The sequence below is a fragment of the Homo sapiens genome, chromosome 1 (assembly GCF_000001405.40).
Source record: "Homo sapiens chromosome 1, GRCh38.p14 Primary Assembly".
Taxonomy (NCBI): Eukaryota; Metazoa; Chordata; class Mammalia; order Primates; family Hominidae; genus Homo; species Homo sapiens.
In genome coordinates this window covers 209,602,741-209,626,667 of record NC_000001.11, presented here as the reverse complement: position 1 = coordinate 209,626,667, position 23,927 = coordinate 209,602,741, and the positions used below count along the sequence as shown (strand labels likewise).

At 50.7% G+C, this 23,927-nt stretch overlaps 2 protein-coding genes and 1 non-coding gene across 10 annotated transcripts in view, besides 2 other annotated features; 2 read left to right on the top strand and 1 right to left on the bottom strand.

The window, feature by feature from the left end:
- LAMB3 (laminin subunit beta 3) overlaps positions 1 to 11,798 on the top strand; it is a 37,556-nt gene extending 25,758 nt beyond the window's left edge. For all 6 annotated transcript variants that reach the window (XM_017001272.3, NM_000228.3, XM_047420351.1 and 3 more), the window contains 10 exons: positions 642 to 1,020; positions 2,668 to 2,828; positions 2,943 to 3,163; positions 3,489 to 3,686; positions 3,988 to 4,132; positions 8,009 to 8,216; positions 8,620 to 8,761; positions 9,082 to 9,258; positions 10,044 to 10,197; positions 11,261 to 11,798. In XM_017001272.3, the coding sequence (XP_016856761.1) occupies positions 642 to 1,020; positions 2,668 to 2,828; positions 2,943 to 3,163; positions 3,489 to 3,686; positions 3,988 to 4,132; positions 8,009 to 8,216; positions 8,620 to 8,761; positions 9,082 to 9,258; positions 10,044 to 10,197; positions 11,261 to 11,397 (1,922 nt within the window). In that variant the 3' untranslated portion in view covers positions 11,398 to 11,798. The remainder of the gene's footprint in view (positions 1 to 641; positions 1,021 to 2,667; positions 2,829 to 2,942; positions 3,164 to 3,488; positions 3,687 to 3,987; positions 4,133 to 8,008; positions 8,217 to 8,619; positions 8,762 to 9,081; positions 9,259 to 10,043; positions 10,198 to 11,260) is intronic.
- On the top strand, positions 3,158 to 3,224 carry MIR4260 (microRNA 4260). Its single transcript, NR_036213.1, has one exon. It is a non-coding gene; the product is annotated as a microRNA 4260 (primary transcript).
- The window catches only part of CAMK1G (calcium/calmodulin dependent protein kinase IG), a 30,226-nt gene continuing 19,027 nt past the window's right edge, over positions 12,729 to 23,927 (bottom strand). For 2 of the 3 annotated variants that reach the window (XM_017001866.3, NM_020439.3), the window contains exons 4-13: positions 23,380 to 23,454; positions 20,994 to 21,132; positions 20,225 to 20,348; positions 18,735 to 18,810; positions 17,576 to 17,688; positions 16,739 to 16,817; positions 15,116 to 15,203; positions 14,452 to 14,876; positions 13,756 to 13,883; positions 12,729 to 13,628 (exon numbers count right to left, since the gene is read on the bottom strand). In XM_017001866.3, the coding sequence (XP_016857355.1) occupies positions 13,793 to 13,883; positions 14,452 to 14,876; positions 15,116 to 15,203; positions 16,739 to 16,817; positions 17,576 to 17,688; positions 18,735 to 18,810; positions 20,225 to 20,348; positions 20,994 to 21,132; positions 23,380 to 23,454 (1,210 nt within the window). In that variant the 3' untranslated portion in view covers positions 12,729 to 13,628; positions 13,756 to 13,792. Of the gene's footprint in view, positions 13,629 to 13,755; positions 13,884 to 14,451; positions 14,877 to 15,115; positions 15,204 to 16,738; positions 16,818 to 17,575; positions 17,689 to 18,734; positions 18,811 to 20,224; positions 20,349 to 20,993; positions 21,133 to 23,368; positions 23,455 to 23,927 lie in introns of those variants that run through there. The other variant, XM_017001867.2, reaches the window with a different exon arrangement.
- Positions 16,335 to 17,534: an enhancer, noted in NCBI's record as "BRD4-independent group 4 enhancer chr1:209782479-209783678 (GRCh37/hg19 assembly coordinates)". NCBI's record gives its function as "activates an origin of replication core promoter dependent on BRD2, P300/CBP, MED14 and CDK7 cofactors, and independent of BRD4, by STARR-seq in HCT116 cells {active_cell/tissue: HCT116}" and the evidence as "EXISTENCE:reporter gene assay evidence [ECO:0000049][PMID:35650434]".
- Positions 18,653 to 18,811: a silencer, noted in NCBI's record as "fragment chr1:209781202-209781360 (GRCh37/hg19 assembly coordinates)". NCBI's record gives its function as "represses an EF-1alpha promoter that drives an FKBP-Casp9 reporter gene in an ReSE screen in phorbol 12-myristate 13-acetate-treated (for megakaryocytic differentiation) K562 erythroleukemia cells {active_cell/tissue: K562(+PMA)}" and the evidence as "EXISTENCE:reporter gene assay evidence [ECO:0000049][PMID:32094911]".

The window sequence follows — 23,927 nt, the reverse complement described above, 5'->3', positions numbered from 1 at the left end:
CTGTTCCTGCGTCCCCGTGACATGCTGGTTGCTTTGCTCCCCACTTCCCTGAGAGAGAGAGAGCATTTCCCAGAAGCCATCTCCAGGGCAGCAGCAAGGAGGGGAGGCTGTTTCTTCCCTCTTCATAGATGGAGGAAGTGAGTCCTGAAGGGGAAAGGGTGTCGTTTCCCACGGAGTCAGTTTGATGTCACCACAGGAGCACAGGCCTTGGAGTGTGCAGACCAGATTGTGGTCCCAGCTCTGCCCCTGCCTCACTGAGTGACTTTGAGGGAGCTGCTTCCCCTCTTTAGACTTGGTTTCCTTCTTAGAGGAAGAGGCATGCTGTACTTAACCTCTCTGTCCCTCAGTTGCCTCATCTAGAAAAAGTGGGAAAACAAGAGTGCTAATTCCCAGAGTGGTGTGAAGATCAAATGAGTTAATGTGTGTGTGTGACTTTAAGTGGTGCCTGGCACATGGTAGGTGCTAAGTAAGCGTTTGCTTTCACTGCAGCTGTTACCATGGCTTTTATTCTGGCTGCGACTTCTGTTATTCTAAGTCATGTAGAAAGAGCCTCAGGTCAGACCTCCTCTTCAGGGCTCTCCCTGACAGCTGCTTCTGTCTCCCTGACCCCTGTCTCTGACTGTCATTTTTCTTGGCCCTAGCCTGTGACTGTGATTTCCGGGGAACAGAGGGCCCGGGCTGCGACAAGGCATCAGGCCGCTGCCTCTGCCGCCCTGGCTTGACCGGGCCCCGCTGTGACCAGTGCCAGCGAGGCTACTGTAATCGCTACCCGGTGTGCGTGGCCTGCCACCCTTGCTTCCAGACCTATGATGCGGACCTCCGGGAGCAGGCCCTGCGCTTTGGTAGACTCCGCAATGCCACCGCCAGCCTGTGGTCAGGGCCTGGGCTGGAGGACCGTGGCCTGGCCTCCCGGATCCTAGATGCAAAGAGTAAGATTGAGCAGATCCGAGCAGTTCTCAGCAGCCCCGCAGTCACAGAGCAGGAGGTGGCTCAGGTGGCCAGTGCCATCCTCTCCCTCAGGTAATTCCCTTTCCCTGCCAAGCATTTGCAAGAATTATGCTCCAGGGGTTCCAGTACCGGGCATGCTGGTCCTTCCTTACATTTGTACAGTGCATTACAGTTTAAAGGCATTTTCACAGTGCTCTCTCTTTCAACCATTACAACAGTCCTGTGAGGCTGGTGTGGTTTTGCAGATGAGAAAACAGGCACAGACAGGTGATGTGACAGAGCCACATGACCACCGAAGGGCAGAGCTGGGCCTCAGAACACAGTCCAGGAGCCCAAGCCCAGCGTTCTTTTAAGTGCCCAGTGCTGCCTGTGGGAGAGAGTCAGCTCTGGATTAGTCACCCTGGCGGAGGGCATCCGAGAGGCAGGGGCTCTAAAAATAACTCACGTGTGGCTTTGGAATGGAAGTTGGTCCCGCCCACACCCCCATCCCACCAGCAGAGGTGCCTTCTTAGTGAGGTTCAGTTCTGGAAGCTTCTATAATTAGTTTGCATTCCCTGAGCACTGGCTTTCTGACTGTGCACAGAGCCATCCAGGTGTGTGAGTGGTGGGGAAGGAAAAGGCAGCCTGAGAAGAATGAAAATGGAGGCTCCGTGACTCACGATGTGCTAGAGCTTCTGGCTGGGGGCTCCGGGAGAGGAACTCAAGCGAATATTGAAAACCAACCTACCTTCCTTCCTTCCTTCTTTTCCTTCTTTTTTCCTTCCTTCCTTCCTTCCCTTTTTTTCCTTCCTTCCTTCCTTCCTTCCTTCCTTCCTTCCTTCCTTCCTTCCTTCCTTCCTCTCTCTCTTTCTTTCTCTTTACATAATTTTAGAGCATCTATGATGAAACAAGCATTGTACAGGCATTGGGGATATTGAAATTAGTATGACATAATCTTTGCGCTCAAGAAGCTCGCACTGGGGAGAATGATGTGTAAATGGTAAACTATAATGTGACGCATGTTATAATGTGTCATGGCAGGCTTCACAGAGGTGCCTTCTGACCTAAGTCTCAGATTCGGGCAGTCAGTCCACCAGATTCAGTAGGTTGGAAACACAGGCATGGAGGGGCATTCCATGGAAGGGCGTTCTGTGCCTGATCAAAGCCTGGAGGTGGAGAATGTGAGGCTTGGAGGAGGGAGCTGGTGGTTGGGTTGGTGGAGCTGCAAAGGGCACAGGGAGAGAGGACTCTCCAAGAGCTCAGTGGCCAAGGGCCTGGGAGGTAGACTCTGAGCCTCCTTCGGGGGGATGACCAGCTGGCAGCAGTGATGGGATCTGGAGCTGAGTGGGAGGTGTGGACTGTGGAAGAGATTTTGGAGCTGCAGCTGTACAGATGGTAGCTGAAGCCAGCCCATAGAGAGCGAAGGAGGAGGGCATCAGGGCATTGCTCCTCATGGAAGCCAGGATCTGGAAGAGGGGGAGGAGAATTGGGAATGTTGGGTCATAGAAGTCAAGGGAGGAGAGTTTTGTGGCTCCATCTGCACCTGGACAGAGAAAGATTGTGCTGGTCGCCAAGCCTCTGTCCAGCGGAACCCCCTTAGCCTGTGGATTCTCTGTTCTGTTGCCTTTGCCCAAGGTCTCTGTTTGTTCTGACTCAGTAGCAGTTGCTCTGAGGGGATAGCTGCTTTGGGGAGGCAAAACTCCCTCCTATATTTTAGTGTAAGCTCCTCTCCCTTCTCAGGCGAACTCTCCAGGGCCTGCAGCTGGATCTGCCCCTGGAGGAGGAGACGTTGTCCCTTCCGAGAGACCTGGAGAGTCTTGACAGAAGCTTCAATGGTCTCCTTACTATGTATCAGAGGAAGAGGGAGCAGTTTGAAAAAATAAGCAGTGCTGATCCTTCAGGTGAGGAGAGGGGCACCCGGATAACCCCGGGCATGGGCACTGCCGTGGTGGGCATGCCACCCCCTCTCCCTCCTGCTCCTCCTCCATCTCCATTCCTCATGCTTCTCGCCACAGGAGCCTTCCGGATGCTGAGCACAGCCTACGAGCAGTCAGCCCAGGCTGCTCAGCAGGTCTCCGACAGCTCGCGCCTTTTGGACCAGCTCAGGGACAGCCGGAGAGAGGCAGAGAGGCTGGTGCGGCAGGCGGGAGGAGGAGGAGGCACCGGCAGCCCCAAGCTTGTGGCCCTGAGGCTGGAGATGTCTTCGTTGCCTGACCTGACACCCACCTTCAACAAGGTGACTTGGGGCATGGAGTCCCACTTCCTGGAGCCCACACCCCAGCTTGTCACACACCAACTGCTGCCACCTGCTTCCTATTAGGGCAGATCTGCCCCTGTGAGAACCCCACTCCCCCAGCCATCCCGACCCTTGTACTGCTCACTGTGAGCTCAGTGGTTGCCAAGGAAACCAGTTTCTGGTCCTTAGCTCTCATGGAGATGTCTGGCTGTTTCTGGTGCTTGGTTGTCATGGAGATGTCTGGCTGTTGGTTTCCCAGGTGTGGGGTGGGATTGGTTATTGAGGGGCTTTGGGTAGCCTCTTTAACACCGCCATCTGTCCACAGCTCTGTGGCAACTCCAGGCAGATGGCTTGCACCCCAATATCATGCCCTGGTGAGCTATGTCCCCAAGACAATGGCACAGCCTGTGGCTCCCGCTGCAGGGGTGTCCTTCCCAGGGCCGGTGGGGCCTTCTTGATGGCGGGGCAGGTGGCTGAGCAGCTGCGGGGCTTCAATGCCCAGCTCCAGCGGACCAGGCAGATGGTAAGTGCAGCCGAGGCGGGGTGGGCACAGGTAGGAGGAGGCAGACAGGATAGATCCCCCGGGCAAGTCAGAGTTCCCATTTTACACTAAAGTCCAGAGATTTTAGGTGACCTGCTTAAGGTGCCACAGCAAGTGCAAGATAGTTTTTTTTCTCTTTTACTGAACATCCACATGTAAGCTGGGTTGGTTACAAATGCTTCCTAGGTAGGTCTTGGCATAGAGGATGATCCGCAGAATCGTGGGGCTGCTGAGAGGTTCCCTTGGGGCCTTACCCCTTCTGACCTAGAGTGTATGTCAACAGATTAGGGCAGCCGAGGAATCTGCCTCACAGATTCAATCCAGTGCCCAGCGCTTGGAGACCCAGGTGAGCGCCAGCCGCTCCCAGATGGAGGAAGATGTCAGACGCACACGGCTCCTAATCCAGCAGGTCCGGGACTTCCTAACAGGTGAGCCCAGTCTCCACCCCACCTTGGCTGCTGTTCCAGTCCTGCCTGTCCCGCATTCCCATGTTCAGTGCATCAGCCAGCCCTCCCTCCCTAGTCCCAGGCCTGCAACATCCAGGCCTCCACTTCTCCTTGGCACCATGGCCATGACCTTCTCGTTCTCCCGTCTGCCCTCCCCACCCACTCCAATCCCTTGTGACCCATTCTCATTCTCAACACAACAGCTGAAATATCTCTTTTAAAATGCATAAGTCAGATCACATCTCACTCCTGCTTAAAATCCTTCAGTGGCTTCACCTTGTTCTTGGAATGAGCTCTCAACTCCCATCGTGGCTACAGAGCCTGGCCTCTGTCCATCTCTTGGGAGTGACCTTGGGCTCTTCTCTGCTTTGTTCACTGGCTGTCCTTGAACATGTCAGGCTCTTGCCTGCTTCAGGGATGTTTATTTGCTCTTTGTCTGCCTGAAGTCCTCTTTCCAGGGCTGCTGCTTCTTGTCCTCTGGGTCATCTCCCCAGAGAGGTGTTTCCTGACCATCCGATCTGTTTGTCCCCCATCATCTTACTTTCCTTGCACTACTCACCCTCATTCAGTTGTCAACAAGTGGATTGTCACTCCACTAGAATGGGGACTCCAGGAGGGCAAGGATGGTTGTCTGTCTTGTTGACTACTGTGTCACCAGCACCTAACATAAGGCCAGACACAGAAAGACATCTGACATTGGTGGCATGAATAAATGAACCAGACACCCTTCCTCACTGCTCTGGGGAGTGAGGAAGGGCTGTACAATGGAAAGATCCCTAAACAGGACCCGGGAGACTCGTGTGACATTGGGCAGGCTGCTTTTCTCTTTGCCTCATCTTTTGCTTCTATAAATGGGGACGGTAGTATTTCACAAGTTTATTCTGAGGATCAAATAACTGATGTAAAATGTGTTTTGAAAAAGGAAAAGTGCCTCAGGAACAAGAGTTGATATTGTTAGATTTCTGGTTCCTGCCAGGTTATTTGCTTGGCTGGGAGCCCAGTTAATACGAGCCCAGGGCTTGGTGTAATGACAGTGGCTCCTCTTGCTACTATTACAGTGTTTTTGCCCCAGATAGGCCGAAGTCCCCTCCTGAGTGCAGGTGGCAGGTCAGAGAGGGGCAGGAAAGTTCTTCTGAGGTCTCATGACTTGCATAAGGCCTTGAGGCACTCACCTGGGGAAAATATTACCTGGGGATGTAGGGAGATTGTGCCCCACAAACGTGGATGATGGGGGAGGTCAAGGTGTGGGGCTTAGGCTCATGGATAAGGGATTCTTGCCCCTGAGTCAAGTCCAGTGAGGCTGAATGGCCACTCATCCTGCATTAATCTCAGCCAGGGCTCTGGCCTCAGTGGGTGGGAGGTGAGTTGGAATTCTCTCCTGCCGGGTGCAGCTGAGGCTCATGTGAACAGACAGGGAGCTGCCAGGCCCCTTTTGTCCTCTCTCTTATACTTGTATCTCAGGTCAAGTCTTATGATGAGTCCAGGGTCAGAGAGAAAAAGCAGGGCCTGAGAGAGGCCTGGCCCCAGGGGGAAACCCAGGAAAATTTTCTGTAGCGGTGGGCTTGGACTCTGGTCTCCAGAGTCCTGGTGCAGAAGCCACTGAGCGCTGGCTGCTGTCCGATATAGGGTCACAGTGTGGGAGGGAGAGTGGAAAGTCTGTGGAGGGAGGAGGAAACATCGCCTTTCCCAGTTCTTCAAATGGAATTGACAAAATGAATAGTTAAGGCTTATTAAGTTCTAACTGAGTCCAGGCACTGTTCCAAGTGCTTTGCATGTATTACATCATTTATTCCTGACTACATGAACTAAGTACTCTTATTACTTCCACTTTGCACACAAGTAATCTAGGCACAGAGAGGTTAAGCAACTTGCCTAAAGGCATCTAGCTTGGCAGTGGTGCAGGTAGGCTTCAAGCCTAATTGTCTGACTCTGTCATTCACACCCTATTGCTTTACGGCATAGACACACAAATACATACACACATGCGAGTGTGCATACACAAACACACTTTCTCTTGCCTCTTGCCTTTGCGAATGTTTTTCCTCTCTCTGGATCGTCTCCCCTCTCCCACCTCTGCTGACCTGTCTAGCTCCTGCTCATCCTCTAGGAATCTAGGCATCCCACTCTCCAGGCAGCCTCCCTGGACCTATCAGATGGCGCTGGGGGCCCCTTCCATGGCCATCATAGCACCTGTGTTTACTCCGCTCACTCAAAGCTGTACTTCCTTGTTCATGTGCCTGTCTCCCATTAGATTTCCAGCTCCATAAAGGCAGGGACTGAGTTTAATTTGATTTGCAGTCTCAACTCCTCCCATGCTTTTGCTCAAAGCAGTAAATATTTACTGAGCCCATCCTGAGACCCAGAAGGCTCTGCGACTGAATGTCATACCGATTGACCCTGAGGATGCAGCTGAAGTGGTGCAGAGTAAAGGAAGGGCAAGATCTAGGTGGGGATGTGCTCATCCTGGAAGGCTTTCTTGAGAAGGTGCACATGAAGCCTTGTTTTGAGAGTGGGACTCTGGGTTAGAAGAGAGGTTGACGAGCTCTATTAGGAAGGTCCTTATGAAAGCTTGCTGCTGGGATAAACCCACTTAATGAAACTCAACCACAGTTATGCTGCATGCAAGCCCCGAGGGACACAGCAATGAACAAGCATGGCTTCCACCCTCCAGGAGTGTCCTTCCACCTGGCATGGGATGGGGCAGGGAATGAGACCTGTGTGACCAGCTAGTATCCTCTAGTTGTAGAGTGAAACTGGGCCTGGGGCCCCAGAGGAGTTCAGATTCCAGGGCAAATCATCTGGTGAGTGGGTGCCCCCCTCCTTAATACCTCAATACCAGTGAAATCTGTAAAAGCAAATTGGGAGAGATGGGGAGGAGATGTCATCTCTGTACTTCTGACCTTACCCTCTGACCCAGAGTTGGTTTGTAACAACTCTTGCAAATGGATTGTTTCATGTTGTACCTTCAGATTGGGGATTGATATTCCTTTTTCACCGATCAGGAAACTGAGCTTAGAGGAACCACTTGACTTGCCCAGGTGGCTTGAATAGTAAAGCAGAGATCTGAACCTGAAGCCCTGTCAATCATTCATTCACTCTACGCACATGAGGACCTCCAAGTGCCAGGCACTGTGCTGGGGTCTGGGGATATAGCTGTGGACAAAACCCAGGCCCTGCCCTTGTAGAGCTTACATTCTAGAGGAAAAGAGACCAAACAAACCAGTTAAATGAGTACAGTGTTTGGCACATGGGTGGTGCAAGTGCTAGACAGAAAGATAAGGCAGGGAGGGACGATAAGGTGTGCTACAGTCCAGGGTGGAGGTTGCAATTCTAGATTGGATGGCTGGGGTTGGCCTCCCTGAGAAGGTGATATTCCAGCAGAGACTTGATCATTCTTATTTGCCTTTGCACAAATGAGCAATCTTGCCTGAGGGGGAATGCAGGGAAGGGGTCTTTTTGCCAAGGAAGCAGCTCCAGTTTCTGGCCACTCTTCCCAATTTAGGGCTGATTGTGCATGTGCTGCAGGCATTGTTCAGTACCAGCTGTCTGGCACCACCTCCTTCTCCCCAGCCCGCAGCTTCCTGTGGCACCAGACACTTAGTTGGCACAGCTGTGACGACACCCCTCCTCCTCCCTGCTGCAGCATGGAGCACAGGATAGTCATCCTCCTACAGCATTCCCAGAAATCCCTGGAGAACAGGCGCCTGAGTCTGGTTGAAAGGGGGCAGCAGCTCCTTGGGACACCACGGTAGAGGGGCCACTGTGGGTGCCTTCCACAAGTGCTGCTCAGCTAGGAGAGGCCTCGTATCTCTGGGGAGGTTAGTGGGCTCCTACAGTCAAATGCGTGTTGTCTTCCAGACCCCGACACTGATGCAGCCACTATCCAGGAGGTCAGCGAGGCCGTGCTGGCCCTGTGGCTGCCCACAGACTCAGCTACTGTTCTGCAGAAGATGAATGAGATCCAGGCCATTGCAGCCAGGCTCCCCAACGTGGACTTGGTGCTGTCCCAGACCAAGCAGGACATTGCGCGTGCCCGCCGGTTGCAGGCTGAGGCTGAGGAAGCCAGGTATGGCCTTGGGCCCTGAACTTCTCTCTGCCCAGGATTAAGCTGGCGTTTTGCTCCTCAACCCCGTTGCTGGGAGAGGGGTACAGAGGGCTGGGAGACAGGAGGGGGTGCTTACCATGGTGGAGAGTGGTACACAGAGTCCAGAGTGCAGGTTAAACTTAATTTGCATGACTGTGTCTTCCGTATTGGAAACCGCCCAGAAGGTGTCTTGGGCATAATGGGAACATTCATCACGTCTGCTTGGTGGGGTCCTGGGACATCAAAGCTACTGAGTTAATACTTTCCTTGCTCTTTGCCTTGGCTGGGAAGGGTGTTCTTTTGGACTGGTGTGTGAGTCGAACCACACATTGATTCACTGTTCACTCATTCTCTCTCTCCTCTCCCTGCTGCTTCTCTCACCCAGGAGCCGAGCCCATGCAGTGGAGGGCCAGGTGGAAGATGTGGTTGGGAACCTGCGGCAGGGGACAGTGGCACTGCAGGAAGCTCAGGACACCATGCAAGGCACCAGCCGCTCCCTTCGGCTTATCCAGGACAGGGTTGCTGAGGTGAGGCATTATGGCTTCCTCCGCCCATATTTGGGCATAAACAGGAAAATTTGGGCACCAGGCATAGAAAATGCCAGAAAGTGACTAGATAAAACCTGAGGTGGAGTTCTAGAGGAGAGTGACAAGCTTTGGGCAGGCTATGGGCCTTGGATTTTCTGGTCTTGTGGCTGGGATGCAGAAGGAGGGGTGAGAGGTGGGCAATTGTGTTTGTTCTGGTTGGAGAGGGTTTTTGCTGCCTGATGAGTTGGAGAAAAAATGGGGATGAACCCCCCGACCTATGAGACCCACCACAAAGGCCAGATCTCCCTCTTTCCACAAAGGTTCAGCAGGTACTGCGGCCAGCAGAAAAGCTGGTGACAAGCATGACCAAGCAGCTGGGTGACTTCTGGACACGGATGGAGGAGCTCCGCCACCAAGCCCGGCAGCAGGGGGCAGAGGCAGTCCAGGCCCAGCAGCTTGCGGAAGGTGCCAGCGAGCAGGCATTGAGTGCCCAAGAGGTACAGAGAAGGCGGAGTTAGCTCAATGATGTACGGCCAGTGAGGGGGTCCTGAGCAGAGGAGGACTTTGCACACTTTATAAGACCACAAACTCAAAAGTGCTTAGAATAACAGAACCAGAAGAGGCTTGAGAGTCAACCCAAACCTGGCCAGGCATCTGATTTCTCCCTCCACTGCTTTTGGTATAGCTGGCTCAGGGACACTGGAGATGACCTAGTCCAGTCCCTTTCCTTTTACAGATGAGGTGGTGACTCGTTCACAGGCCTAAGAATCATCTACAAAGCAGGTCCCCTGACACTGGATCCAGAGCTTGTCTCTTGGATTCCCAGCCTGGACAGATGCTCTTTGCTTAACCTAACCTGGGCTCCATGATTGTCAGAATTAGATGAGAGAGAAGATCAAAGAGCCCATTCTCAGTGTCTCAAGCACACTACCTGCTCCCGCTATGGCCAGGAACATTGGCACTTTCAATCCTGGCACAGTGACCAAGTTGCTAAGTATGCTATTAAGTGACAGCCTACTATTAATATCCTATGATGTGACTGACATTGTCCTGGGAGTGAGGTGGGTCATGTCAAGAGCTGGAGATGGGAAGAGGGAAACACAGAAGTTTAAGTCATAGTCTGTGGCTCAGGGGTTTCAATAGGCAAAACCAATGCTATTGGGGGCTAATAGGAGGCACCTTCCCACTGTGTATTGATTTGGGTGATATCAAGTGCTTTGGCCACAGGTCTTTAGGACCTTGCATGATGACAATGACACTGAGACTATTCTACCTTTTTCAGGGATTTGAGAGAATAAAACAAAAGTATGCTGAGTTGAAGGACCGGTTGGGTCAGAGTTCCATGCTGGGTGAGCAGGGTGCCCGGATCCAGAGTGTGAAGACAGAGGCAGAGGAGCTGTTTGGGGAGACCATGGAGATGATGGACAGGATGAAAGGTGAGGGAATGGTTTAGGGGCATGGACTATTGGGCATTCATGAAGGCTGGTCCCACCCAACCCAAGGCTTCTGAAGCCCGTTCTTATTGGAGCTAGCCGTGCTATGGGAGTGAGATCAAATGAGATTTTTTCTGGGCATCTAGCATGTATGAGGCTGGGGAATGCAGAGATGGTCCCATGACTTGTCCTGGCCTCAAAAAGCTTGCAATTAATGGGACCATTTTCTCTGTTTTTGCAAACAGTGGGGTCATATTTTTTATTCCTATTGCTTTATGCTTAAGATGCATAGAATTATATTTAACAGGATGAGGTGGTCTCTGATAGGGGTTGAATAATAAGAGTTCTGGGGTTCAGGGAATAAATAATTTGAGAGAGACATGTTCAGTGAAGGTAAGAAAAGAAGATTTGAGATGGGCCTGGAAGGATGTGTAGGCCTGGGAGAAGCTGTGAGGAAGAGGAGGGACATTAGGATAAGGGTGTTGGGAAGCCCCAACAAGATATGTTCTGACATAGGGACAGGAGAAGAGGGTTGCTGAGGAGCTGGTAGGAAAGAAGTGGCATGAGGTCAACATGACTTGTCCCTGTGCCTGGCTTCTAGTGTGAGGATGAGGAGGGTAGATAGCTCAGGAGGCGGTAGGGCACATCCAAGGGCTTTGAATATGACAGAAACATAATGAAAGTAGCTTTCAAAAGGGTTCCAAAAATTCCTTAGAAAGGAGAACAGGGGCTCCTGGGAACTAGAGTCATCGCTAAGATATGATGATGGGTGTTTGTGACCTCCTTCATTAGCCTTGGACAACTGTGAGAGCCCAGAGGGTCAGGGGCCCAGGGATAATTAGGAGTGGGAGCCTGCTGGGTTTGGCCCCTGCCAGGTTACTAAGCATGGGATGGGGCTGGAGAGGCATGAAGCTGGAGGGGCACCACTGCTTTAGAGGCCAGATTTTTCTGGAGGGGATTCCTCTACACATGCTACCTCCAGTTAGCAGGAGGGGAAGGAAGGGTTGGGAGTCTTGGGGAGTCTCACCATCAACTCCTCCTCCTGCTGCTGTTCCATTTGCCTCAGACATGGAGTTGGAGCTGCTGCGGGGCAGCCAGGCCATCATGCTGCGCTCAGCGGACCTGACAGGACTGGAGAAGCGTGTGGAGCAGATCCGTGACCACATCAATGGGCGCGTGCTCTACTATGCCACCTGCAAGTGATGCTACAGCTTCCAGCCCGTTGCCCCACTCATCTGCCGCCTTTGCTTTTGGTTGGGGGCAGATTGGGTTGGAATGCTTTCCATCTCCAGGAGACTTTCATGCAGCCTAAAGTACAGCCTGGACCACCCCTGGTGTGTAGCTAGTAAGATTACCCTGAGCTGCAGCTGAGCCTGAGCCAATGGGACAGTTACACTTGACAGACAAAGATGGTGGAGATTGGCATGCCATTGAAACTAAGAGCTCTCAAGTCAAGGAAGCTGGGCTGGGCAGTATCCCCCGCCTTTAGTTCTCCACTGGGGAGGAATCCTGGACCAAGCACAAAAACTTAACAAAAGTGATGTAAAAATGAAAAGCCAAATAAAAATCTTTGGAAAAGAGCCTGGAGGTTCAACGAGGAAAAACAGTCTGTCCCCTCACTGGGTAAACTCTTGCCACTGTTTCTGTCTCCCATTTGGGGTTTGTGGGGACTCCTCTATTCAAGCCCATATTTTGCTCTCCTCTGTTCCACCCGGCTTTCTGGGCACCCAGATTTAGGGAGTCTGGGCCCCTCTGCCCTAGAACCTGATGGATTCTATCCTTGAGAGACCAGAGAAGCAGTTTTCATCTCTAAGCAGCGATTCAACTTCTTGCTTACAGATGGGGAAATAGAAATCCAGGGAAGGGAAGGAACGTTCAAATTCATGCAGCTTCCAGAGGAAGGACTAAGACTAGAATCTATGTCTCTTGGGGTCTTAAAGAGAAGTTGTAAATGGATATGTGTGGGGGGTGGGGTGGAGGATGATATGGAATGGCATGGACATTTGTGTGTTAACCATGGCCCAAGCAGGCACTGTGCTAGACATTTTATCTACATTAACTTCTTGATCATTGTTAATCATTTTGATTATTTATTGGCCACGAGGCTGGGCACATCATCTGCATCATTTCATGATGCAGGTGGCACTGCTATTCCCATTGGATAAGTGAGGAAACCAAGGCACGAAAGACTAAGTAACTTCCCCAAGGTCACAGATATGGCAGGTCGGGGCAGAGCTGGGGCTCGAACTCATGCTCATCTAATAGAGCCATTAAGAGAATGGCCACTAAAGCCAGACTGCCTCGGTTCCAACAGAACCTGTCCCAAGGGGTTGTTGTGAGAAGTAATGAGTTAATGATGTAACTCATGTCCAGTGCCTGGAGCACTGTATACTCAGCTATATGCACATCTGTATGCACATCAGCTACAACTGCTGGTTCCTTGCTGACCCCAGCCATCCATGCACTCTCTACTCCAGACATGCTCAGAAGTCCCTGAACTGCTCCTGACTTTGAAAGAACCAAATGAAGCCTCATAGAGAAAAATATGTCCATTTTATTAAGCACAACACTGAGCATGAAGCTGGAGGGGTGGAGGGCGAGGAAACTGGGGAAGGACAAGAATGGTGTGCTGGACTTTCAAGGAGAGAAAAGGGAACAGAGGCAGGATTAGAACTCCTGGCAGACATTAAAATAGTCAACTTCCAAGGTTAACTCCATTGGGTGTGTGCACGGAGGACATGTGGCCAGGATAAGAATTCCTTGCAGCCCTTACTCATGAACTTCTTTCTATTCCACTTTGGAGGGTGTGGCACTGCTTTTAGATTGAGGCAGGGAGAAGGGCCAGAAGTGTGCTGGCTGGGTCTCAGCGCACTTGGGAGCTAATCCTGGAGTTAAGGATTAGAACTTGAAGAGCTCACAGGCAGACCACCATGGGGAGCTGCCTGTCATTCATGCAGATGGGCAGGCAACGACATTAATGAGCCCAATCTGGCCAAGAGGTTGGAGGCTTGAGAGGTGGGAGTGAGTGTGTGCAGAGTGGGAGTCTGGGTAGATGCTCCATATGGCTTTGCTTGGAGAAGGTGACACAGCCTGGCCAGCCCATTAAGCTTTTCACGACAAACAGCACAGACCCAGGCGAGAGCTATCTACGTACACTGCACAGAGCCACGGCACGTAGGGTGTGGGGCATAGAGCAGGCAGGTCAGGGAGACCTGGAAGCTGGTGGGCACCGCTTCTCCTGCTCACAGCTTCAACAAGGCTTCTACGCCTTGGGGCTCCCTCCTGGGCCTCCTATGAGGGGCTGCCCCGCTGGCAGCAGGCTGGTGCTTCTGGCCAGAAACTGCTCCTGCTAAGCCCTGCTCCACTTGCTCTGCCTTCCTCCCTCTGCCGGATAGACACCAGGTTTGGAAGAGCAGAGGAGTTGAATATGTCTCCTGCAAGAGAAAGGGGCTCAGAGTGAGGAGGGGGTTGCCACCTCAGACCCCATCACTCACACTCTGGCATGGGGCTCTCCTCTGGGACAGAAACTCTCCCCAAGCCTCACACTGTGACCCTCCTAACCTGAAAATTGCAGTGACATAGGCACAGGCTCCAGGAATCACATAATGAGACAGACTCCAGTCTGCCCTGCCCGGCAGTGGGAGCTGCCACTGGCTTTAACTGGTACCATGACCTCCGACTTGAAGTTCCTAGAAAGGAAATGAAGCAACAACCTTTGAAGTATTTGAGGGAAGAAGAGTCGATGGGGCAGGGCAGAGGTGGTAGTTCTCTGTGCCTGTGGCATCCACTCAGCTCTCCCCTCATGAGGTTCAGAAAGTTCAAGAACCTGCAGAAAAGATAAAGATAACCAAGCCCCCCTACACTTCCTTCTGCAAAGCACAGAGGCCCTGGAAACTCGGGGAATCTGATGCTCACCACTTGCAAATACCCAGTTTTCTGTGGGCTTTTATCATCTCTGTTGCTTCACTAACCTTTTATAGTACCTCTGTGAGGCAGGCTAATTGGGTAAATAGACTTCAACCCAGTTTACAGATGAGCAAAATAGAAGCAGAGACATTGACTCGTCAATGGCCTCACAACTAGTAAGTGATGGGGACAGGGCTGGAAGCATTTTCCTTGCCCCCTCATCCAGAACTCATCCCTCCCTATATAGCTGCCTATGAGTGGGAGAGGCCTTTGTGTCCATTTCTTTCAGTCCTGTTGACCGATTTCTTTCAGACCCAAGCTGGGGCTCCATCTTTGGCTAAAAATACGTACTGTTTTTTGTTGGCCTTTTTGAGGAGTGTGGGCTCAGAGCAGTAGGAGGACTTTCCTTTGCTCCCAATGTTCAGGCAGCTGGAGCAGCAGCCACAGGGCCCGGCGGCCAGGGACCCCTGATGCATGGGCACCAGGCTGCTGCTGATGTGGAGGGAGCCATTGACCAGGCAGTTGAGGGACCTGCCACCAGGGGCAGTGGGCCGGCGGCCATGCTGGCAGGGTAATTGGGTCAGGGCAGGGAGTGCTACACTGTGGTCCAGGACAGGTGCCTCGGTGATGGTGATCTCAGGGGAGCTGGGTCTAGAGGTTTCTGAGGCTTGAGTTTCAGGCGGCCTGTTCTCCACCTCTGGGCGGACGCCCGGGCTGTGCAGGTTCATGTGTAGCTTCCTCATGTGGTGCACCACAGCTGCTGCGTTGAAGGCTTGCTAAGGAGACACAAGAGCAGCCTCTGGCCTTCTGCAACCTCAGAGGGCCTTGGAGCTTAAACTTTCCCTTTGCCTTGTGGCCTCTTGAAACCTGGGTGCCCACTTCTCATTTCAGAGAGGGTACACGGAGCTCCAATGCCTTCTGGGACATCCCAAGGAAAGCCCTTATGTCAGCCCCTGCCAGCCCAGCCTCCAGGGGCCCAGAACAGCTTTCCCACCCCCTGGAGAGGACAGCTTACCCTCCACTTGCTCTTAGCAAAGTTCTTCTGGATCTGGAGGCTGACTGATGGGTAGATGTCCCGGTGGAGGGCTGTGTTTCCGTCAATCCTGTGGATGTAAGAGGGGACACCTGGCTACTGGGTGGCTATTTACACTCATCCAGGGAGTGGGCAGGGTGCCTGCAGGTCTAGGTGAGAGCTGGGTAGAGTGTGCAGAGGAAAGACAGCCCACAGCAGGAAAGGGCTGCAAGCAGGTCTCCTCTGTGCCCCTGGGCAAGTAAGAGTCGGCTTTAGCTTTGGCAAAATCAAAAACTTTTAGAGCAAGGTCAACAAGCTATAGCCTATAGGCCAAATCGACCTATTGCCTGTTTTTGTAAATAAGGTTTTATGGGGACACAGTGGTGCCCATTAATTCAGGTATTGTCTGTGGCTCCTTTTGCACTGTGACAGCAGGGTTGAGTAGTTGCCATAAAGACAGTATGGCCAGGAAAGCCTAAAATATTTACTATCTGATGCTTTATAGAAAAAGTTTATTGGACCCAGCATCACAGGGCACTGGGGTAGTCACCATCCTTTAGCTCAAAACCTTGCCTAGAACCCACCTCCTCCTGGAAGCCTTCCTCAGTAAGGCCGTCTGGTACAGGCTGCCCCTTTCCTATCCCCTTAGCCTCTTATTCACTGGTCTCTAAGTGTTCCTCAGACACTTGCTGTGTGCATAGTACTGTGCCAACTACTAATAGACCTCGAGAAGTAAGAGACATGGGCCCTGACCCCTAGGAGCCTACAGTCTAGATGTCGGGTGTTGTTCATGCTATGGACTGCAGTAATACATGGTAAGCCGTGTGATTAATAAAGAGAACTGGGGAGATTGGGTTGGGCTGCAGGGGTCAGGGGCTTCAGGGAAGGGCAGAGACTGATCTGGATCCTGAAAGATGCTACATACAGGGCAAGAGGCAGGACATTGTAGGTAGTGGGAATGATCTGATCCAAGGTGTAGTTAAGACAGAGCTTGGTATGTGGGGTGAGACAGATATAGCTCCCAGGCCTATCTGGACAGAGGAGGTATGCTGGCAATCCTGGGAAAAGAGGCTGGAGATAAAGGGTCAGGCCATATTAGGGAAACTGGAAAGACAAAGGAATCCAGGCTTGCTGGGGTATGAAGTGGGGAGCTATTGTAAATTGAGTTGGGAAGTAACATGAAAAAATATTTTAAGATTTTCTTTTTCCTATTTTGCCAATCGGTTGCTTTGCAGTTGTTCTTAAATCACTTCACCTGGAACAGTTATTGATCCCTGAGTAAAACAAAGCTCTAAAGGACAGGACAGAGTTGCCCATTCCTGGCACTTCTTGAATAACTAGTACTGAACATTGCACCCTATCCCAGTGCTGAATGACAGCGCTCGGCTGCACCTGCCTCCTGCACTTGACCAGACAACCCAGCTGCTACCCTTGCATTAGAACCTGCTCCACTGTATAATGTTTGAATCTCTACCTGGGCCTGATGAACAATGGCATGGTCCTTGCTTGTCACATCATTAAATGGATCAGGACAAGCAGATTCCAGGGAAATGCAATATGAATGAGTCAGCATGGTTTTGGGAACTACAGGGCTGGGGTCTAGAGTCCACTCCATGTCTCACTCACCAGGGATGACTCAAGGCCTTCTCACAGGTGTACCGCTCGTTCGGATCCTTCTCAAGCAAGTGGCAAATAAAGTCCTTGGCTAAGGGGAGTAATCAAAGACACGACGACTAAGGACCAGATTTCATGACTGATGGAAATTCACTTCCGGGCTGGTGGGTGGCAGTGAATGCATCTTTAGCTGATCTTCCAAAGAGGCAATTTTAAGAGTCTTAGAAGAGGAAAAAAAATCCAAACCACCTAACAACAACCCACCATAAACCACCAAAGAAGGGAAGCTCCAAGCCGCCTCACCCACACAGCACTGCAGAAGCGTCACTAGTCACAAGGCCCCCATGTGCCTGCACATCACATGTGCATGTGTTTGCACTGAAACAGGGGCCAGCGCTGGCACATGGGCACGCATGTGAGTGCTGGATTGTTCCAGCTCTGATTTCCACTTAACAGGTCCAACAATCACGTAATGATCATCTTCTCTCACACATAGACATTGCATGCTCTTTCTTGATATCTAACCCCTTAGTTTTGCTGCTCTTGTCTGGAACTCTCCCCTCACCACCTGGCTCTGCCCTCCTGGCCCATCTTCTAAACTGCCCCCCCATCTCCTTTTCAGGCATACTGTGGTTCTGCCTCCAGAAAAACAAAAGCATAGCTCTTAGATGTAAATAATTTATCGGGTCTTTGAAGCAGACGAAGATTTCTCCACTTTCCTTGGCAGCCTGTTCTGTAAGATCCCCAGGGACTTTGAAGAGCCGGGACTGTCATCCTTTGTTAAGCTCATTTCTCTTGGCAGCCTCTACCTTGAGCCTGTTATCTCTCCTTCATGCCTACTGGCCTTACCTGACTCAGAAATGTCATCCCAGAATGGAGACTCAAACTCATAGTAGCCCTCCTTGATCTTCTCGAAAAGCTTAGACTCCGTTTCTTCATAGAATGGGGGGTATCCACAGAGCCTGCAGCAGGACAGGAAGGAGGCATACTACTGAACAAACCTGTCCTCCCTGAGCCAGCCTCTCTGCTCCCCCAAGCTCCCACTGTATACACAGGTGGGCACTGAAGGTCCCAGAACAGTGGTGTGACCAGGACGCAGATCTGCCTCAAATTCCAGAATGGTACAGGTCCCGTAAAGTGTTTATGCAAGTGCCAAGCCTTGGCACAGTCATCCCTAGAAGGTCCCTGTGTACATTATGCCCTCCAACCCTTGCCACCTCTCCTTATACTTTCCCTGACTTATGAATGCTATATAAAATATGTTTAAGAAAGTTGGTAGACTGTCTACTTGAATGTAAGCTTGATGAAGGATTTATTTAGGCTGTGTTGTTCACTGCGGGATTCTTTAGAACCTAGCACAGGGATAGATGCAGAGTAGATAGGCAGTGAATATTGGTTGGGTAAATAAATGAGAGTACTTATTCAACATAAATGGAGGAGATAATTGAAACCAGGTTATTTTCCTAAGAGCAAAGTTTGCTATAGGTGAGGAGGGATGGTGGGGAAGAGGTGATGGGCAGGTTAGGAAAGGGAGAGCTTGGGAATGTGTGGAGAGGAGCGAAAAGGAAAGGCCCTGACCAGCTTTATCCAGGCCACAGTTTTGCCTTGGGAAAGCTGAGATGTAGGAACAGAGGGTCCACCTGGCTTCCAAGCCTGGCTTGGCCTCTCTCTTTTTCACTGTTCATTCCACTGAGTGGGATGCAACACATTTATAGGCAGTAAAAGGGGCAGGGGTGCAAGAGGAGGGAGTGCCAGGTGGCTGTGCAGTGGATTCACGCTGAGCTCTGTTTTAAAACTTGGTGGAGGTGAAGAGAGAGGAAGCTTTTAAGCTGTGTGTACATGTATGTGTGTGTGTGTGTGTGTGTGTGTACCCGTGTGCCCCTGTGCCTGTGTCTGTTTGTGCACATGCACGTGCTTGGAGGAGGAGCTGAGACAGGGGAGGGAACGAGAAGGGGTAAGCAGGCTCCGAGACTTCTCATCAGCTGAACCCAGGCCAGCGTCTACTCACAATATGTAGGTGATGACGCCGATGGACCAGCAATCCACAGCCTTGCTGTAGGGTTTCTGGGCCAGCACTTCTGGAGCTGCAGCAGACCAAGGGCAGAGTCAGGGCTGGTGGCAAGAGGAGAGGGCTTTGGGGTGGGAGCTGAAGGCCAGGCTTAGAGAAGAGGTCTGGGGAAGACTGTGGGATGGTGGGGTTTCTAGGAGACTGAAAACTCCCTAAGGGTAGGGGCTGTGTCTCTTCTGGGAAGACTAAATCTTCCTGAAAAGAGAGACTGTGACTTCTGCATTAGTTTGTGAGTTTCCCCATGACAGGGTCGATGACTCACCTGTTGGACTGGGGATCTCCAGGGCTATGTCTCCCTGATTACACTGAGTATTCTCTGAAGGCAGGGCCTGTCTCCCCACTCAGATAGGGGATTCCCAGGGCAAGTGTGATCTCTCTCCCTTCAGACTGGGAGATCTTCAGTGTAGGACTGTCTCTCCTCCACTAGACTGGGAGCCTCTGGGAGGCAGAGACTGAGTCACCCCCATTAGATTAGGAGCTCCCAGAGCAAAGGCAGTATGTCTCCCATCAGACTGTGGGTACCTTCTGAGGGGAGGCATTTAGTCTGTCCCATCAGATAGAGAGCTTTCAGAGGGCATGAGCCATGACTTCCTCTGATTAGGAGCCCTGTGGGGTGTAGAGAGCTGCCTTCTGTATTTCTTGCAGCTACCAGAGCTTTGTACCTGGTGGGACTCAATACCTACTGAGGAGTGAATGACCTGCCTTTCTGGGAGGGTAGATTCCCTCTCTTGAGTCAGAGCTCTGCTTCCCATTACCCAACTGCAAACAGGTGACGACTGGTGAAGTGGGAAGGGACAGGAGCGGATGCTCTGAGTTTCAACTTTGTCTCCTGTAGATCCCAGGAATACTCTTCCAGGTGCCCTGCCTGCTCTCACTCTTTTTGGGGGCCCTGGAAACCTACAGGGATGTTCAAGCAGGAAGCTCCACCTTTGCCAATTTCCCAGAGTGCTTCCTTGGGTGGACATTTAGGAGCCCATTTCTGGGTTCCTCAGGCCCAAATTCAATATCCTGTGCTTCCAGGCTCCCAAGAACTGGGGGCTAATGTCTCCTTCAGAGTGGGAGAAAGGAGTAGGGTTGGTGCTCAACCCCTCAGCTCTCTGCTGATCTCTGGGTTTGTGATCTTGTCTGCCCCTGGTCCAGCTGGAAAGACAAAGGCTGGAAGTCTATCCGCAGAAATGAGAGCCAAAGCATAGGCAGGGACTCTGGAGGGCTCAGGGGTAGGCGGTCTTTAAAAATGTAGAATTTGGGAGCAGTAGAGATAGATCCTGAGACGGATGAATTGGCTGGCCCTAAACTTTATAAGTGGATGTCCTACCAGGATAGCCCCTGAAGTTGAACCCTATGTTCTCAGAATCACCCCTTTCTATGAATGATAGGCATGTGGTTGAATGTAGCCAACTGGTCAACCTTCCTCCTGCTCCCAGACTTACCCACGTAGCCTGGGGTCCCACAGGCAGTGGACATGATGCCATTCTGTTCCATCTTGGACAGACCAAAGTCAGTGATCATGATCTTAGAGTTCTCTTCAGGGGTAAGGTAAAGCAGGTTTTCGGGCTGTAGGAGAAAAAATATGTAGTGTAGGATATAACCACCTGAAGCAAGTATTTTCCTTCCCCTTGATACAAAATTTCACAGGAAGATGAGCCCTGGGCTCCTGACTTCAAGGCCAGCTCATCCTCCCCCATTCTTCCCTTCTTCCTCCTACCTGCACCCTCACACCTGCACCCCAGTAGTCTGCACCTTGCTTATGGCTCTGACTTTGCTCGGTCTTGTAAACATTAATATACTCACCCTTTCCTTCCCTCACTTCCAACTACCCTGTTTGTGTTTTGAGAGAACCAATCTTTGGTTAATGGTGTCTGATCTCTCCAGAGTCCAGTGCAAGGCCTAGTACAATGTAGGCCCTCAGTAAATATTTTGTTGCATTGGGTTTTGACTGTGGCTGGATGTAAGAAATGTGTGTATTATTTTGGTATTGAAATAGGGTAAGGCATAGTGAAAGTTTCAGGAAAAATTGAGGTGCAAATTAGTAACCATTGTTCACTCATCCAAGGTCTGTTTAAGGAATCTAAGGGCAGAAGGGGCCTTGGGAGTCACTAGTCCAACCCTCTTACTTTATGGAGCTTAGATGTCCCATGACCCATGCAGCTTCCTTAAGGGTCATTATCTGTTTCCCACCCAGGACTCCCGCCTTGACACCTTTAAGTCTCTGTGGACGATGCCATTCTCATGTAGGTATTTCACTGCCGACAAGACCTGCTGGATCACCAGACTGGCATCCTTCTCTGTGTAGACACCCCGCTCCAGGATCCGGTCAAAGAGCTCCCCACCAGAAACACTGTGGGCATAGGATCAAGACAGGAATTCAGTTCTCATTTCACTCAAAGTAATGAGAAGGTGTTTGCTTTGAAGCCTTGGGGGACACAGCTGCAGTGGAACAGGCAGGCCCCCATGAACTGTGATTGAAGGGCTGCCAGCAGACTACTCCAGTCTCAGAACACCCACTCTGGGTACCTGGAGTGATATCACTAGGCAGTCATCTCTTTGGGCCAAGCATTGACCTCTCTCTCTGAAAATTTCCTTTAAAATGTAAATGCTTCTGGTTGGGGCTGCACAAGAAGCCAATAATCCCTTAGTGTGGACACACTTCTTAGCCACCTTCCTTCCTGGCCTATGACACAGGAAGCCATGATGAAAGAGAGAGGTAACACAGAAATTAAGCAAAGTAGGAAAGAGAAGGCATGCAAGTGAGACTAACCGTACTTATATCAAGATTTCTCTTCTCATTTTGGGAAATTGGGCTTCATAAAGCTGGAATTACAGGTAGGGCTTTAGGGGTGCTTTGAGACTCAAATGGTAGAGTATCTTAGGACCCAGGGGAGCTTAAAGATCAAGTCTGACTTCTATCTCATGAATACCATCTACTCTATTTTTGCCTAGAAGTTTTCTAGTGAGTACTAGAACACATAAGTGTCAGAGAACACTCTTCCTCCTAAGACAGAGTGTTTTTTGGAATATTCCTAATGTTTCTGCACATTATGTTGAAACCTGATGCCCTGTCATTTCTACCAGTGCTACCAATTCCACCCATCGGGACTGCACAGAACAAGAATAACAGCCTTTCCTGTGCACCTTTCAAGTATACAAAGATAGTGAAATGCTCTCCGGAGGGCTTGCCTTCTCTGAGATAAGCATTCCCAGACTATTTCAACCGTGAGCCAGGGGTTCCAGTCCTCTCACCCTCCTAGTCCCCCTTACCACTGTCCCATGACATTAGATGTGGCCATCCATGCCCAACTAGTGATGAGGGAAAAGAATTTCTCCGATCAAAATTTACCTCATCCTGCTCTTTGGCTTTTGGTCTTTAGGCTTTGGGCGCTCCTATAGTAGCTGAAGGCCTGTAGGAAATACACTCTTTGTACAGAGCTATGAATTCTTAACCCTGAGGGGCCTGAGTCCTGGAGCTATGCTCTGAGGAGGCTTAGTGTCTCCTCAGGGACATCCAACTCTTCCCATCTCCTTGCCTCCCTGCCTTCTGAATTACTGTGTGCTAATCCTGTTGGCTTGGCCTCATTGTAGTGCCTGATGGTCCCTGATCACTTGTTAGTGCCACTAGGGGCCCTTTCCACCTCACTCCCTTGACTGCCTGCTACCTCTCTTTAGAGGTCCTCAGATAAGCCCCCAGTTAATCAGGTGCTTAGGCCTGAGTTATCTCGTTAAAGTTTCTTAGTAATCAGCCCATCAGCCAAAAACCACGTTGTGTCCAGCCACGCTGAGATTGCAGAGTGGTGTGTGAGTGCGTGTATGTCTGTGCATGTGCAAGTGTGTGTATTTGTGTGTGTGTGTGTACTTTATAAACAGAAGTGTCTTTGAGCCCAATGCTGAGCCCTTATGAACACTGACCAACCTCTACAGCAGTTGCTGTCAGGCAGAGCTGTTGTTTGGATGCAGCAATGACGCAGAGACCTTGCTAATGAAGCACCACTTCTGTCCTACAGATGGACACATACAATCACAGCCTGTCTTTAACTTTGGGTGACTCTGTTTTGGGAAAATCTTTCTTTATATTGAAATATATCTACCTGTGGCTTCTGCTCCTACAGTAATTTTATGCTGGAGTGATGTTAAAACATTTACTATCCAATTTGATTAACATGTATTGGTCCAAAAGGACTGAAGCCACAGTGCCAGAAAAGGGTTCTGGTGACTCCTTGTTAGTCTGGCATTACCCCTTCGGTCGTTTGGTTGCAAGGGGCGAGGAGGGGTGGGGCAGCAGAAGGACATGGATGGGTTGGGGTCGCAGCTATTTGCTGACTGGTAGGAAATATTCTAACCACTGATAGGGTTGTCCTGGTGCAAAGGAGCTTAATAATCAGCCCAGGTTTACCCTGTGGCCCACATAGAACCTGCCCATGACCAGAGGCACACTCAGTCTAAAAGGACCCTTGGCATTTCTGAGCCTCCTGAATGAAGTCTTCATTTTTGTCTTTGAATTGCTGTCCATCCCTCACCAGCGACCAACCTCCTGTAGGCCTCCCAGGCCCCACCAGGCCTCTGTGAAGGAAGCAAGTCACCTTTTACTTACAGCTGCATGACCAGGTAGTAGTGGGTGGTGCTCTCATAGATGTCCTCCAGGGTCACAATGTTTTCATGCTTGATCCTGGGAAAAATAAAGTGCATGATGAAAGGTATGTGGTTCAGGTTGTACAGACAAATAATGCAGACCTAGCCCAAAAGTTTCTGTTGGAGGCTTTTGATGGCAATGTTTAGGAAGACTAGGTCTCTGTGAAGCCTTCATAATAAGTAGACTGTCACAAATTAATCCCAGAGAAAAGATTCCTGTGGAGGTGCTCGGTCCGTGTTTACTGAATGAATAATTGATCATCCTTCCTTCAGGAAACAAACACTTCCTTGTTATGCCAGGAATCTCTTTAAACTTTACTAAAAGAGACAGTTAGAAGAATGGAGGAAGGCTAAGGGAGTACCCAACACTAGGTTATTCTACAAAGTAGGTATTCAGATGTTAGAAATATTGCACTTAAAAAGTACAGGTTGAGTATCCCATATCTAAAATGTTTGAGACTAGAAGAGTTTTTGGAATATTTGCATATACATAATGATATACCTTAGAGA